The sequence below is a fragment of the Homo sapiens genome, chromosome 6 (assembly GCF_000001405.40).
Source record: "Homo sapiens chromosome 6, GRCh38.p14 Primary Assembly".
NCBI classification, from domain to species: domain Eukaryota; kingdom Metazoa; phylum Chordata; class Mammalia; order Primates; family Hominidae; genus Homo; species Homo sapiens.
The window spans coordinates 20,878,805-20,895,504 of record NC_000006.12 but is presented as its reverse complement, the minus strand read 5'-3'; the positions used below and the strand labels follow the sequence as shown (position 1 = coordinate 20,895,504).

At 37.6% G+C, this 16,700-nt stretch overlaps 1 protein-coding gene across 16 annotated transcripts in view, besides 1 other annotated feature; it reads right to left on the bottom strand.

Moving 5' to 3' along the window:
- CDKAL1 (CDKAL1 threonylcarbamoyladenosine tRNA methylthiotransferase) overlaps positions 1–16,700 on the bottom strand; it is a 697,948-nt gene that overhangs the window by 336,900 nt on the left and 344,348 nt on the right. The gene's annotated exons all lie outside the window — the stretch shown is intronic.
- Positions 13,133–13,427: an enhancer, noted in NCBI's record as "tiled region #659; HepG2 Activating non-DNase unmatched - State 23:Low". NCBI's record gives its function as "activates a minimal TATA promoter and a strong SV40 promoter by Sharpr-MPRA in HepG2 cells {active_cell/tissue: HepG2}" and the evidence as "EXISTENCE:reporter gene assay evidence [ECO:0000049][PMID:27701403]".

The following is a 16,700-nucleotide window of genomic DNA, read 5'->3' as shown; positions in this document are numbered from 1 at the left end:
ATTCTAAAAATGAATAGCTGAGCAAGCGTATGGGGAAATGGAAACATACACTACTGAGAGAAGTACAGGAGTGCATTTAGGTAATATCCACCAAAGTGGAAAATAAGCATATTCATTAACCCACAATTTCATTTATAGGTAAGGAATCCTGAAGTAACTCTCACATGTGTATAAAAGGAAATAAGTGCAAATGTTCATTACAATTGCATTGTTTGTAATTGGAAACAACCCAAATATCCATTACCAGGTGAGTAAGTTGTAAATTCACATGATGGAATACTATAGAGCTATTAAAATAAGTAAAACAGATATATGGACAAATATGGATAGGTCCATAAAAGAAAACAGTGAGTGAAAAGAGCAAAGCTGCAAAATATTTGAGAGTATAAAACCATTATTTAATATTATAAACTTACAAAACATACACATAGAGAAAAAAGATACACAACAGATTCACGGCAGCAGTTACTTCTGGTAGAGCAGCAGGTGAAGAGAACCTGGTAGGAGGTGATAGAGAACTTCAACTTTATCTGTAACATATTATTTCATTAAAAAAACAAAAACAAAAAGAATCTGAAGAGCACATGACAAAACTAAGATTGTTTATTCTCTGAGGAAAATTCACCAGTATCAGTTATCTTACCTACTGTATATATATTTTAAAACACAGGGTCTCACTATGATGCCCACACTGGTCTTGAACCCATGGACTCAAAATATCCTCCTGCCTTGGCCTCCCAAAGTGCTGAGGATTGCAGGTGTGAGCCACCACATTTTGTATTTTATGTGTTATTTTTGTAAAAAACTAAAGTTTAGAAGTGTATAACTTAGAGGAGAAATTAACCATTATCTCTATAATGGGGGCAGTTGTTAAACCTGTAACACTCAACATGAAGTGAAAGACCTTCTTCAAACTTCCCAAATGGAAAATCTCTGATTCAGAAGTGTAGCCTTTATAAAGAAAAGCATCACTCAAACTTCTTTTATAAAACCAGAGCAGCTTACACTTAAAACCTGTAAAAAAATTTGAAGTATTAATAAGTTTCTCCCTGAGGCCACATAAAGAAATATCCATTATATGTTTAAAACACAGCAAAAAAAAAAAAAAAAAAAGTATGTGGGGTGTAGGCTAAGAGGTTAATTCTTCCAAGTTCTAGTACTGGTAAATTTACCACTGTTAATTTAGGAAGACCATCTGAATGGTATGGTAAGGAGAAAATAATTTTCATTGAATATATACTGATTTTATAAAACAATATCTGACCAAAAAATAGTTAAGGTAATTTTTTAAAGAATTAAATAGTTGAGGTCAATAATATGCTGACCTAGAAATTAATGCATCAGGCTGTCACCAAAATAACACTTTAGATACTTAGTGTGCAGTCAATAAGCTAATGAACTACCAATATCCTTGACAGCAATTTCATTCTGTCTTTGATTAAAATGTACTCAGCACACAATTACATGTCAAAAATATGAAACATATTTCTTTTCTATGTATTTATAATTCCATTTATAATCACACCATTTGAATGCTTCGACAAGGACTGCATTATTAACATAAAATAATGTTAATTCCTGCTCTAGTAAGAAACAACTCAATCTTTTTGTTCACATACTACTATACAATTACTCATGATCATCATCATCATCATCAGTATCGTGAGTTCTTGTGCACTTACTCCATGCCCAAGACTGTGCTTAGCTCTCTGCATACATTTCTTCATTTTTATCCTTATCACAACTCTATGAAGTTAGTTCTGTTATTATCCTCATTTTGCAGAATAGGCAATTGAGGATGGAGATGCTAAATTTATTATCTCAAGGCACACAGATTTAGCAAATAGTAGAATAGTTGCTTCATTTGACTACAGAAGTATGTAACCACTGCATATTCTACATACTATCAGATAGAAAGCCTTAGAAACAATATAAATAAATGTAACTATGCCCAGAACAAAAAATTATGCAATGACATATTTACACTTTGAAATTCACATTATCCTTCCCCCATAGTCAGGCCCTCCCCACCTGAATAATCCAGCCATATATCTCTACACATATATCCCTTACTCTTTATTGTGATTATTGAAAAGCAGTTGCTACAGGCATGAGATATAAATTGAACCATTCAGTTATACAGTGGGGGACCAAGCATGTTGAGTGCTATTGTTCTTTTGCTTTGAGGCAAGCAAAAGGCCAGCGAACACCTCATGGCACTAGGCTGTAACCTGCATTCAGTGCAGCAACTTGAATGAATCATGATTATCTAACTGACTCCAGTCAAAACCCCAAAGAATTAGTACATTATTAAGATGTTCTAATGCGCTTCTTTTGTGATGCCAAGTCAAAAATACCAGCTATTAAAAATAAGGCGGCACAGAGAGATGCGTTTTTGGGATCATTCCAGACCCACCTACAGGGTAATGCTATTCTGCTTTCAACAGCTGTTTCTACTTACCTGAGGTAAGGCAGGTGCAGGACAAAAGAAGCCAATGTCTCTGCACCTGCTCCCTCAAATTCAACTCAGGTAAATCAGTAAAAGTGACCTTTGTGAACCTGTCACTAGGAGCAGATGTTTAGTGAAAGACCAGGAGGTTTTCATCCACTTGACTTTGCCTCAGTTTAATTCATTCAATTTAACCAATCTGATCAGATTCTATTGACAGATGCTTAAGGCAACTGCTTCCAAAAAGGTTGGCTTATCTAGGAAAATGCTGTCAGAAAATACTGCAACAAAATCTTTCCAGGCCAAGCTGGAAGTGGATAGTTAATATGAGGTAAATAAAAACTCCTTAGAATCAATTTTAAAGTGAGAACTGCTTTGTTAAATCTGGATGATTCTGTAGATGGAGAAAGGTTATGAGTACATGTTTTGTGTAATTTTTATGACAGGAAACCTCAAACATATATATAAATATATAAATATACAATACGGTATAATTCATCCTCATGCTTTTATTAGTCAGCTTCAACTAGTATCACCCCTGGGTCACCTAGCCACATGCTCTCACCAAGGATTTTGAGGCAAAATCTCAGATACGTCATTTCACCTATAAATATTTCATTATTACCATACCTTAAAAAGTTTTAAAATAATTTTTACATTGTATCAGCACTCAATATTGTACTTGTCTTATAATTGTCAAGTTTTAAATAGTTTGTTTGAATAAGGATCCATATACAGTCCACATATTTCAATTCTCTTTTAAGTCTCTTTTCATCTGTGAAGGAGTCCCCACTTCAGTCTCTCTCCCTCTCCCTCCCTACTGCTCCACACCTCTTTCTTAGTTGAAGAACTGTGTCTTTGGTCCAGTAAAGAGTTTCACAGTCTGGATTTTGCTGACTGCATCCTTTAAGAATGGGAATGTCCCCATGTCTTCTTCATTACCTTAACCAAATTTAAGTTCAACTTTTTGGTAAGATTTCTCTGTCAGGGGAGACGGTGCAAACACTTATTTTTAATACAGATATATATGCAACAAGAACAAGTTGCACAAGTGCAGAAGAGGCAAGACATGAAAAAACAGCAACTCTAAGGATGCTGCAGTAATTGAAAGTAGAGTTGAGAAAAAAACAACTCCGTAGATAAGACTAAAATTAAAAAAGAAAAACAGATGACCATGAGAAAAGCAGAAGAGTCCCTTATGCATGTAAGAAATAAGCAGGATGGGCCAGGCGCCGTGGCTCACGCCTGTAATCCCAGCATTTTGGGAGGCCAAGGCGGGTGGATCACGAGGTCAAGAGATCAAGACCACCATGGCCAACATGGTGAAACCCTGTCTCTATGAAAAATACAAAAATTAGCCGGGCATGGTGGCGCATGCCTGTAGTCCCAGATACTCGGGAGGCTGAGGCAGGAGAATCGCTTGAACCCGGGAGGCGGAGGTTGCAGCAAGCCGAGACTGCGCCACTACACTCCAGCCTGGTGACAGAGTGAGACTCCGTCTCAAAAAAAAAAAAAAAAATACAGAAAAAAGAAAAGAAATAAGCAGGATGAGTGACAAAGAGTGAGATGGAATAAGAAGCGAAGGATGACTGACAGGCCACCCGGCGTCTGTTGGGTACTTTCACCTCCCATGATCTGCACTCCAGGGGGAGTGTTATTAACTCACAGTAAGGACAGGCTGCAGCATGCCCACCTTCCTGCCGCTAACAAATGATCACGTCAGAGCTCAAGCCAGAGCCTTCCAACTCTTACTCAGTTCAAGACCACTAGTGCTAGAGAGTGGTGAGGAGATAAGAAGAGGAAGGACTGAGACACTGGGCCATGATTACACCTCATTACTGCCTTGTAGAAAAACTCCTTCCAACCCTCAAAATGAACACACCATAGTGCCTGTAACTCATGCGGTAGCCATGTAAATCACTGGTTAAGCCAAGAGCTCTGAGGCCAGAATGTCAGAGTTTAAAGCCTGACTCTGTCATCTACTACTTTTGTGCCTAGGGTAGCGGGGGAAAGGGGAGGTGCAAATTATTTATCCTTTCACCTGTTTTCTCATCTGTGAAAGGAGATAATTGCAGCACCTCCATCTTTTGTGAGGATTAAACAAGTTAATGGAAAAAAAGCATTTAGATGAGGAACTAAAATATGGTAATTGCTTCATAAATATTCAATAGTATTATCTTACGTTACTATTGTTTTTATTATTATATTGAATTTTAAGCTATTATTGGTCACCAGTAAGAATTACTTCTTGTCTGATGCCTTTACTTATAATCTAAATGCAATATTTCCCAAACAATTTGATGCAAATCGCCTGATGCACTAATTAAAAAGACTAATGGTATGACAGCATCTTAGACCCGCTGACGCAGAATCTCCCCAGGGTAAGAGTGTAGAAAACAAATTTTAAGCCAACACTCCACGAACGTCAAAGAAACAGTAGAGAGCTCAAGAGAGAAAACCTGGAATGTCACCAGAAGGTTCTGATAACCACTACATTTATTTTCCATCAGATTGTATAAAATTACAATAGCCATCAGTAGAAAAATGTGATTTTATAAACGTTTTTTCTTTTCTGAAAATACATGGAATTATTTATTGCTCACTGATTTTTCCACATCTATTGCTGAGCACTTTTCTCCTCATGAATGTGTACAGTGTTCCAATCCGGGTGCTGATGATTTTATCACTAGAGAGGAAGTTCTTGAGAAGGAAAACTCCATAAGCACCACTTCTTATGCATCTTGCTTAGAGTCTACAACTTGATAATTAAGCAATAAGAAACATCAAGATGTAGCTTACAGCACTAGTTATTAACACACATGGTGTGTACATTGTAAAACATCAGGCAGTAACTGCCCAAGGCGAGTGCTAACAGTCCCATAAACATACAGGTGTTTTGTCACTGTGTGACTATCATCTTCGAAGCTCAGGATTATTTTTTTCTTTCATATCATTAACTAGAAGTTTTTATTTGATGGAAAATCTACATAAATGGAAATGTAGCCCGGGCACGGTAGCTCATGCATGTGATCTCAGCACTTTGGGGGGCCGAGGCAGGAGGATCACTAGAGCCCAGGGGTGTGAGACCAGCCTGGTCAACACAGCAAGACCTCATCTCTAAAAAAAATTTTTTTTACCCATCAAGCTGCCAATGACTTTCTTCACAGAATTGGAAAAAACTACTTTAAAGTTCATATGGAACTGAAAAAGAGCCCGCATTGCCAAGACAATCCTAAGCAAAAAAGAACAAAGCTGGAGGCATCACACTACCTGACTTCAAACTATACTACAAGGCTACAGTAACCAAAACAACATGTTACTGGTACCAAAACAGAGATATAGACCAATGGAACAGAACAGAGCACTCAGAAATAACACCACACATCTACAACCATCTGTTCTTTGACAAACCTGACAAAAATAAGAAATGGGGAAAGGATTCCCTATTAAATAAATGGTGCTGGCCATATGTAGAAAGCTGAAACTGGATCCCTTCCTTACACCTTATACAAAAATTAATTCAAGATGGATTAAAGACTTACATGTTAGACCTAAAACCATAAAAACCCTAGAAGAAAACCTAGGCAATACCATTCAGGACATAGGCATGGGCAAGGACTTCATGTCTAAAACACCAAAAGCAATGGCAACAAAAGCCAAAATTGACAAATGGGACCTAATTAAACTAAAGAGCTTCTGCACAGCAGAAGAAACTACCATCAGAGTGAATAGGCAACCTACAACATGGGAGAAAATTTTCGCAACCTACTCATCTGACAAAGGGCTAATATCCAGAATCTACAATGAACTCAAACAAATTTACAAGAAAAAAACAAACAACCCCATCAAAAAGTGGGCAAAGGATATGAACAGACACTTCTCAAAAGAAGACATTTATGCAGCCAAAAAACACATGAAAAAATGCTCATCATCACTGGCCATCAGAGAAATGCAAACCAAAACCACAATGAGATACCATCTCACACCAGTTAGAATGGCGATCATTAAAAAGTCAGGAAACAACAGGTGCTGGAGAGGATGTGGAGAAATAGGAACACTTTGACACTGTTGGTGGGACTGTAAACTAGTTCAACCATTGTGCAAGTCAGTGTGACGATTCCTCAGGGATCTAGAACTAGAAATACCATTTGACCCAGCCATCCCATTACTGGGTATATACCCAAAGGACTATAAATCATACTGCTATAAAGACTCATGCACACGTATGTTTACTGCGGCACTATTCACAGTAGCAAAGACTTGGAACCAACCCAAACGTCCAACAACGACAGACTGGATTAAGAAAAGGTGGCACATATACACCATGGAATTCTACGCAGCCATAAAAAATGATGAGTTCATGTCCTTTGTAGGGACATGGATGAAACTGGAAATCATCATTCTCAGCAAACTATCACAAGGACAAAAAACCAAACACCTCATGTTCTCACTCATAGGCGGGAATTGAACAATGAGAACACATGGACACAGGAAGGGGAACAACACACACCGGGGACTGTTGTGGGGTGGGGGGAGGGGGGAGGGATAGCATTAGGAGATATACCTAATGCTAAATGACGAGTTAATGGGTTCAGTACACCAACATGGCACATGTATACATATGTAACAAACCTGCACATTGTGCACATGTACCCTAAAACTTAAAGTATAATAATAATAAAATTAAAAAAAAAAAAGAAGATGTGGCACATATACACCATGGAATACTATGCAGCCATAAAAAAGGATGAGTTCATGTCCCTTGTAGGGACATGGATGAAGCTGGAAACCATCATTCTGAGCAAACTATCGCAAGGATAGAAAACCAAACACTGCATATTCTCACTCATAGGTGGGAATTGAACAATGAGAACACCTGGACACAGGGCTGGGAACATCACACACCAGGGCCTGTCATGGGGTGCGGGAATGCGGGAGGGACAGCATTAGGAGAAATACCTAACGTAAATGACAAGTTAACGGGTGCAGCAAACCAACATGGCACACGTATACATGAGTAACAAACCTGCACATTGTGCACATGTACCCTAGAACTTAAAGTATAATTTAAAAAAAAAGAAATTATGTTCCACCAAAAAAAATTTTTTTTTTAAAGATTAGCCAGGCATGGTGGTCCACGGCTATTTGGGAGGCTGAGGCAGGAGGATCACTTGAGCTCAGGAGTTCAAGGCTGCAGTGAGCTATGATCATACCACTCTACTCTGGCCTGTGTGACAGAAACAGACCCTGTCTCTTAAAACAACAACTACAAAAAAAGAAAAAAAGGAAAGATCTTAAGCGAGTGAGTTCTGACAATCATCTACTGTGTAGCCCAAACTACTCTAAAGATATAAAATACTTTCCTCTAGAAAGTAATCCTATGCACCTCATCAGACAATCTCTCCCTACCCTCGTGCCTACAAGTATTCAGTTTTTTTTCTACCACAGATTATTTCCAGAGATTCTTGTGAATGAAATCATATCTTGCACTTTTTTTGTGTAATGCTTCTTTTACTCAGCATAATATTGTTAAATTCCTGTTATTGCTTAAATTGGTAGTTCGTTCCTTTTAGTCACTAAATAATAGTTCATTTTGTGGATAAATTCCATTTTGTCCATTCTTCTACAGATAAACACATGGGCTGTTTCTAATTTTTGGTGGTTACGACTAAAATAGCTATAAACATGCTTATACAAGCTTTTTTGTGACTAATTTTGACAAATTTCTCTTAGTAAATGAGTAGAATTGCTGGATTACAGGATAAGTGCATGTTGACTTCAATAAGAAACTGCCAGACATTTTTCCAAAGTGGGTGGAAACCCCCATTCCCAGCAACAATGTATGAGAATTCCAGTTGTTCAACAACCTTGCCAACATTTAGTGCTGTTAATCTTTTAAATTCTGGTGGTTGTACTTCATGTATAGGAGTATCTTATTGTAATTCACATTTGCATTTCCCTTGTGACTCATGTTGTTGAACACTTTTAATGTACATTTTGGTCATTCATATCTTCTTTTTTGAAGTATCTGTTCAAATCTTTTGTCCAGTTTAAAATTCAGTTGTTTGTCTTCATTATTGAGCTGTAAAAAATATTTATATGCTGGATATCAACCCTTTACCAAATAAATGTGAATATTTTCTCCCAGTCCATGTCTTGAATATTCATTTTAACAGAGCTCTTTAATTTTGTTTTACATTTCTGGGACATTTATTACATTCACAATGTTGTGTAACTATCACCACCATTTCCAAAGCTTTTTCATCACCTGAAACAGAAACTCTGTATCCATTAAGCAATAACTCCCCATTCCTCCCTTCACCCTTTCCCTGGTAACCTCTAATCTACTTCTTGTCTCCATGAATTTGCCCACCCTAGATATTTCACATAAATGGGATCATACAATATTTGTCCTTTTGTGTCTGGCTTATTTCATTTAGCATAATGCTTTCAGGGTTCATCATGCTGTAGCATATATCCGAACATCATTCCATTTTATGATTGAATAATATTAAATTTTGCATACATCCAATATTTTGTTTATCCATTCATGTGTTAATGGTCATTTGGGTTGTTTCCACCTTTGGGCTATTGCAAATATCGCTGCAATGAACATTTGTGTATGTGTATCAGGTTGAGTCCCTGTTTTTAATTCTTTGGAGCATATACCTAGGAGAGAAATTGCTGGGTCATATATTAATTCTATGTTCAACTTTTTAAGAAACAGTCACATTGTTTTCCACAGTAGCTGCACCATTTTACATTGCTACTATTCACAGCAATGTATGAGGACCAATTTCTCCACATCCTCACCAACACTTAGTTTCTATTTTGTTTTTAATTAAAGCCATCCTAGCAAGTCTGAAGGGTTTTGATTTGCATCACACTAAAGACTAAGAATGTTTTCAGCATCTTTTCATGTGCTTATCTTCTTTTGAAAAATATCTATTCAAATCTTTTGTCCATTTTCTAACTGGGTTGTCTGCTTGTTGAGTCGTAGTTCTTTTTTGTGGGGGACGGGGATGGCGTCTTGCTCTGTTTCTCAGGCTGGAGTGTCGTGGCATGATCTTGGCTCACTGCAACCTCTCCCTCCTGGTTCAAGCGATTTCTGGGTAATTTTTGTTTTTTTATTTTTAATAGAGATGGGGTTTCACCATATTGGCCAAGCTGGTCTCCAACTTCTGACCTCAAGTGATCTGATGCACCTCGGCCTCCCAAAGTGCTAGGATTACAGGTGTGAGTCATTGCATCAGGCTGAGTTTTAGTTCTTTACGTATTCTAGAAATTAAACCTGTATCAAATTTATAATTTGTAAATATCGTCTCCCAGTCTGTAGATTGTCTTTTCAGTTTCTTGATAATATCCTTTGATACATGACAGTTTAAAGTCTGATGAAGTCAAATTTATCTATTTTTTCTTTTGTTGCTTGTGCTTTTGGTGACACATCTAAGAATCCACTGTTAAATCCAAGGTCATAAAGATTTACCCCTGTGTTTTCTTCTAAGAGTCTTGGTATTTTAACTCTTATATTTAAGTTGTTTTTCAATTTTGAGTTGATTTTTGTACATGGTGTAAGGTAGGGGTCTAACTTTGTTCTTTTGTATGCAGAAATCTAGCACCATTTGGTGAACTATCTTTCCCCACTGAATAAATGTGGTTCCCTGGTCAAAAATCAATTGGCTACAGTTGTATGGGTTTACTTCTGGATTCAGTCCCATTCCATTGATCTATATGTCTATTCCTATGCAAGTACCATGGTGGTTTGATTACCATAACTCTGTAGTAGGTTCTGAAATTGGGGAGTGTGAGTCCTCTAATTTTGTCCCATTTAAAGACTGCTTTGGTTACTCAGGGCCCTTGCAACTGTACGTGAATTTGAGGAATAGCTTTTCTAGAACTGCAAAAAAAAGGGGAGTGCTGTTGGAATTTTGCTAGGGATTGTGCCGAATCTGTAGATTACTTTGGGTAGTACTGACATCTTAACAATATTAAGTATTCCTATCCCTGAACATGAATGTCTTTACTTTTATTTAGGTCTTCTTTCATTTCTTTCAGTAGTGTTTCATAATTTATCACTTTTTTTTTTCTTTTTTAAGAGATGGGGCCTTGCTATGTTGCTCAGGGTGGTCTCAAACTTTCAGGCTCAAGTGATTCTCCTGCTTCAGCCTCCTGAGTAGCTGGGACTACATGCATGTGCTACAGCACACAACTTGTTTCATATTTTTTAGTGTACAAATTTTTCACCTCCTTGGTTAAATTTATTCCTAGGTATTTTATTCTTTCAGATGCTATTGTAAACGGAATCACTTTCTTAATTTCCTTTTCAGATTGATTATGATTGTTCATTGCTGATGAAGAGAAACACAACTGATTTTTGCATGGTGATCTTATAACCTACAGCTTTGCTACATTCATTTCATAGTTCTAGTAGTTTTCTTGTAGATTCTTTGGGATCTTCTATATTTAGGATCATATTATCTGTGAAGAGAGACTGTTTTACTTCTTTTCCAATTTGAATGCATTTTAGTTCTTTTTCCTGTTTCACTGCTCTGATTGGGAATTCGAGTACAACGTTGAATAGCAATGGAGAAAGCAGGCACCTTGTCTTGCTCCTGATCTTAGGGGGAAAGCTTTTATTTAGTCTTTCACCAATGAGCATGATGCTAATCGTGAGTTTTTCAGAAATGTCCTTTAACATGTTGAGAATGTTCTCTTCTACTTATAGGGTTTTTTTAGTGTTTTTGTTTGTTTGTTTGTTTGTTTTTTCCATCAACCTCATCATTCCTGAGATGAAGTGTTGGATTTTGGCAAATACCTTTTCTTCATTCATTGAGATCACTCTGTTTTTGCTTTTGTTACATTAATGTGCTATATTATATTGATTGATTTTTGTTATGTGGAAGCATCTTTGTATTCCTTGGATAAATCCCACTTGATGATGGGTGTAAAATCCTTTTAATATGCTGTTGAATTTGATTTGTTAATATTTTTGCATCTATATTCATAAGGGCTATCAGTCTATAATTTTCTTTTCTTCTGATATCTTTATCTAGCTTTGGTATGCTGACCTCAGAGAATGAGTTAGAAAGTGTTCTCTCCTCTTCTATTTTTTAGATGAATTTCAGAGGGACTGGTGTTAATTCTTTAAATGTTTGCTAGAATTCACCAGTGATGCCATCTGGTCCTAGATTTTTCTTTACTGGGTGCAATTACTTTTTTCACTAAAGTCCATCAAAAGGTTTCCTCCTGTCATGTTATTGTAAAACATTTTAAATATACAGAAAAAGTTGAAATAATTTTACAGTGAACTCCATATACCTACCACCTAGATTCTATGATAATATTGTACTTTATTTGCTTTACCATACAACTATCCATTGTACTTTCTTATGCATTTCAAAGAAAGATGCATATATCAAGACACTTCACCCCAAATACTTCACCAAGCACATTATTAACTACAGCTGCCACTAGCCACATGCGGCTATTTAGTTTTAAATTAATTAAATAAATGAAACATTCGGTTGCGCAGTCATTCTAGACATATTTAAATGTTCAACAGCCATGAGTGGCTATACAATACTGGAGGAACAGCCCATTATATCCACAGGTTCCACCCACATTCAGGGGGAGGGAACAACACAAGGTAGGTGCAGCAGAGGGTAAGAATATTGGGAACCATTTTTAGGTTTTGCCTACCATATGTGGGGAAGGGGCATCTGCCTGGAACTAGTTACACTTGTCAACTAAAATGCAACAACTGGGAAGACAACGTATGAGAGAAGGTGACCAGCATGGAGCTTGAATTCCCCACTGCTCCATTTCCTATCCAGCCACCTACTGAAAGTTGAGTTTTGTTACTTCCTTTGATACAGATCTGGGAAGGTCCACTTGGAAGAATTATAGGTGGGCCCCTGTACCAATCTGTCAGAACTCATAGCAGTACTTAAAGTACCTAATTTTATCTATACCTCAAAAGTGCCTGTAGGTTTCTCTCTTACGGATGAGCAAAGAAAAATTATCTCAGAGCATACAAAAGTTTCAGGAGCAAAAGAGAAAAAAAAACCAAAGTGCTGAAGAAAGACTAATTCTTGTCAGTATGAAATGTAAATCAAAAAATAAAAGAATTTTTCAGTTTTGAACCTTGTTCTTAACAACACACAAAAGGACACTGACTCTAGGAATCAGAGGAAGCCATTATGAGAAAAGAACATATCACAATAAGTAAAGACTACATGAAAATGAAAAACCTAGTAGGAAAATCAGAAATGACACTGGACATGTTCTCATAAGAATCCGTATGTGAATGTTTATAGTGGCTTTATTCATAATTGCCCCAAACTGCAAGCAACCTAGGATGCTTCAAGTGATTAACAGATTAAAAACACTGTGGTACATTCATACAATGGAATAGCACACAGCAATAAAAAGGAATGAACATGAAACAATATGGATGAAACCAAAAATATTGCTAAATGAAAGAAGCCAGACTAAAAGAGCTTGTAGGGGAAGAAAAAAATATTCTTTTCGCTTACCCTCCCAGGTTCTCTGGCTGGGCCCTGTAAATTAGACTAACAAAAGATTTAAAAGAGAAAAGTAAACACATCTGTTTAATAGAAGTGTTATATGATATGGGAGTCTTCATATGGAAACGCAGATGGAAGGAAACAGTTAACCTGGGTGTTTTTATGCTAGGTTTGATAAAGAGTGGGAGGTTGTGAAAAAATGTGACAGGACAAAGCGTATGAGCTAAAAGGGAGTTAGCAAACCAGGGGAAACTTAGCAAGGCCTGTGGAGTTCATTTGGAATCCTCAGCGTTCTTCCGCCTTTGGAGACAGGAATGCCCCTTCCCCCTCCAGGTGCAGGGAGGGCACCTCTCACATGACATGTCTTATGACCTTCTTCAGAGGAAGGTCAGAGAGTCCTTCCTGTACCTGCCATTTCTCAAATTCCTTCAGCTTAAAATATTCAATATGCAATGTGCCATATTTTGGGGTGGTGTGTTCTGAATCCCATCAGGCTACATATCGCATGATTCCATTTATATGATATCTGGAAAGGGCAAAACCAAAGGAAAAGAAAAGAAATTTGTGGTTGCCAGTACTTGCAGCGATAAGAGAGTTTGACTAGAAAGGGAAAAGGAGAAAATTTTGGTACGTGGTGTAACTGTTCTGTATCTTGATTGCAGCAGTGGTTACAATTTCCAAAAAGAGTGCATTTTAAAGTATATGAATAAAAATTATTAACTACTTTGGAGATACAAACAGGAGATTTGAGACTGCATAAAAACAAAGAGTATAGACATGAGATGCACAACCATAATAAAAAAAGGAAGAGAAAGAAAAGCAACATGTTAACAAATATGAAAGACATTTCACAGACAGCCATTTTAGGAATCGCTCAAAGAGGAAAAATAGAAATAATATGGTTGCTTACCTAGAAAGCCCAAAGAATCAACTAAAAAGCTACAAGATTAATAATTAATAGGAAAGGTCAATCAAATGCCTAGTTAAATATAGCCAAGTCAATAGCTTGCCCATGTAAAAGAGATCAAGTTAGAAAACAGAAAGAGTCCATTCACAGAAGAGTGAGATGACAATCAGTTCTCAATAACAAGCATACAGAATTCAGAATGAAAAATGAAAGTTTATCAATTTATATATCACATATACAAAATATATGCTATGATTATATATGGCAAAGAGGGATTCATAAATCAAAGGTGAAAGCAAAGTCTGTTTTCAGTGTTTCTTGGAGTGTAGTCCCAGACCAGCAACATCATATTATCTTGGAACCTGACAGAAATGCAAATTCTCAAGCTCTACTCCAGACCTACTGAATCGCAGACTCTGAGGATGGGGTCCAGCAATCTTTGTTTTTAATAAGCCAGCCAAGCGACTGTGCTGTTCCTTAATGTTTGAGAACCAAGATGCCAATGCTGTTGGTTTGGGGATCACACTTAGAGATGTCAATAGTCTGTTTAATGAATAGTAATGGGAGAAAAGCTTAATCACATGGAAGGATACTGTATTAGATCACATATGTATTAAGCTCCAGGTAACAGAGTTGGTGGGTTTGTGGGAAAGGAAGATGCCTGGATGACTTCCCTAATCTTCAGAGCCGATGGTCCCTTGCCAAAAACAAAGCAAAAACCCAACACATTCAAGCCATCTGTAAATTTTCTTTCACTTGCTGAGTTGCTTAACTGTGCATGAACCAATAATAAGAAATTTTATAATCTTTTCTTAGCCTAATGGAAACTTATTTAGCAACCCTCCCCACCCCTTTATAACATGTCAATTATCTGACTTTTAGATAATCAACTGTCAAATATGTTCTCAGACCCACATTATATATGAATTCAGGAGGCTTTATGTATACAGTATAAGATACAGGCCATAGAGAAATTTATAAATCACAAAAAAGAACAGTATTATGATATATGGTGGCATTTTACTTATATATTTAAATATTATAATAACTTAAAGAATGTAGTTTCTTGGCCAGGCGCGGTGGCTCACGCCTGTAATCTCAGCACTTTGGGAGGCCGAGGTGGGCGGATCATGAGGTCAGAAGATCAAGACACTCCTGGCCAACATGGTGAAACCCTGTCCCTACTAAAAAATACAAAAATTAGCTGGGCATGGTGGTGCGTGCCTGTAGTCCCAGCTACTCAGGAAGCTGAGGCTGGGGAATAGCTTGAACCCAGGAGGTGGAGGTTTCAGTGAGCCAAGATTGTGCCACTGCACTCCAGCCTGGAAACAGAGAGAGATTCCATCTCGAAAAAAAGCAAAAAAAAATGTAGTTTCTTTGATGGAATAAAAAAAGTAATACCAGCTATGTAGAGCTTACTTACGATTATCTCGCATTCCCACTCTAAGCATTCCGAAGCCTGTAGCTAATTTCTTTCTATTGATGCATGAGGAAATTACTTATATAATTCTAAAGAGTAAAATATGTCCCTCACTGCTTCTCTAGGTGTGATATGGAAGACACAGAATTTGTTCATAAAAAGTTTTTAAATCACTCAATTATTAAAGCCCCAACCTCTAAGAGAATTAAAACTACTATCTTGATAAATAAAACACAGTCTTCTCACAGGAAGACAAGGGCAAGAAAATGACAGACAAAATTCATACCATAGTTTAAAAATGGACAGTCAGAGTGAACCTTTAATTGACTGCAAGAAAAGGCTCTGCTTTCAAAACTTGGTAAGCTTCCTGTTTGGGAGATTGGATTCCCTCACTCAGCATCACTCCGAGGTGTGGGCAGCAAACAGCAGGGGTCACCACACAGAATAGGAACCAGAAGTGTGGGAATCAGGGATAATTTTTAGAACCAAAGAGGTCAGAAAAGTCAGAGGAGAGCACAAGTGAGAAATGCAGGAAATCCAGCAAGGACAGGAAAGAAATTGCCAATATCAAGTGACAAAGGAGAACAAGGTTTAAATTCCAGACTAGCAGGCAGAGACAACAGTCAGCCTGACCCCAGGATACAACACATATTTGCTTCCTGAATGAATCTTTGAATCTCTAGTTCTTCATCTATAAAAGTGGAAATAATGATAATCCAAAAAGGTTGTATTGAAAAGTTAAACAACATAAAAACTGTTGAAGTGACTATTACATAACAGGCGGGAGATATTATATATTGAGAGTGGTTTTTTAACCATCTGAGAGCAGTGCTGAAACCAGCAGGTGTACTCTACTCCTCCTGACCAGGGAAGACCAAGACTTCAAAACTAACTAGAGACTCTTACTGCCTCTTCCTCACTCTACCAAAGTGGCTTTGCCCCTTTGGGGCAGCCTGACTTTGTCACTGGTACTAGAGGTTTTGTGGGTTCTCTACAGAAATGCAAAGAGTCCACCTGTACATCAGTCCTAGGGACTAGGCAGGTATTTCTATATCCTTTTGGTACAATCACCAATGGGGAATACTTCTTTTATTTATTTATTATTTTTTTCTTTTTTTTTTAATGAGATAGAATCTTGCTCTGTCACCCAGGCTGGAGTGCAATGGTGCGATCTCGGCTCACTGCAACCTCTGCCTCTCAGGTTCAAGTGATTCTCCTGCCTCAGCCTCCCGAGTAGCTGGGATTACAGGCGCCCGCCACCATGCCTGACTAATTTTTGTATTTTTAGTATAGAGAGGGTTTCACCATGTTGGCCAGGCTGGTCTTGAACCCCTGACCTCAGGTGATCCGCCCACGTTGGCCTCGCAAAGTGCTGGGATTACAGGCGTGAGCCACCAT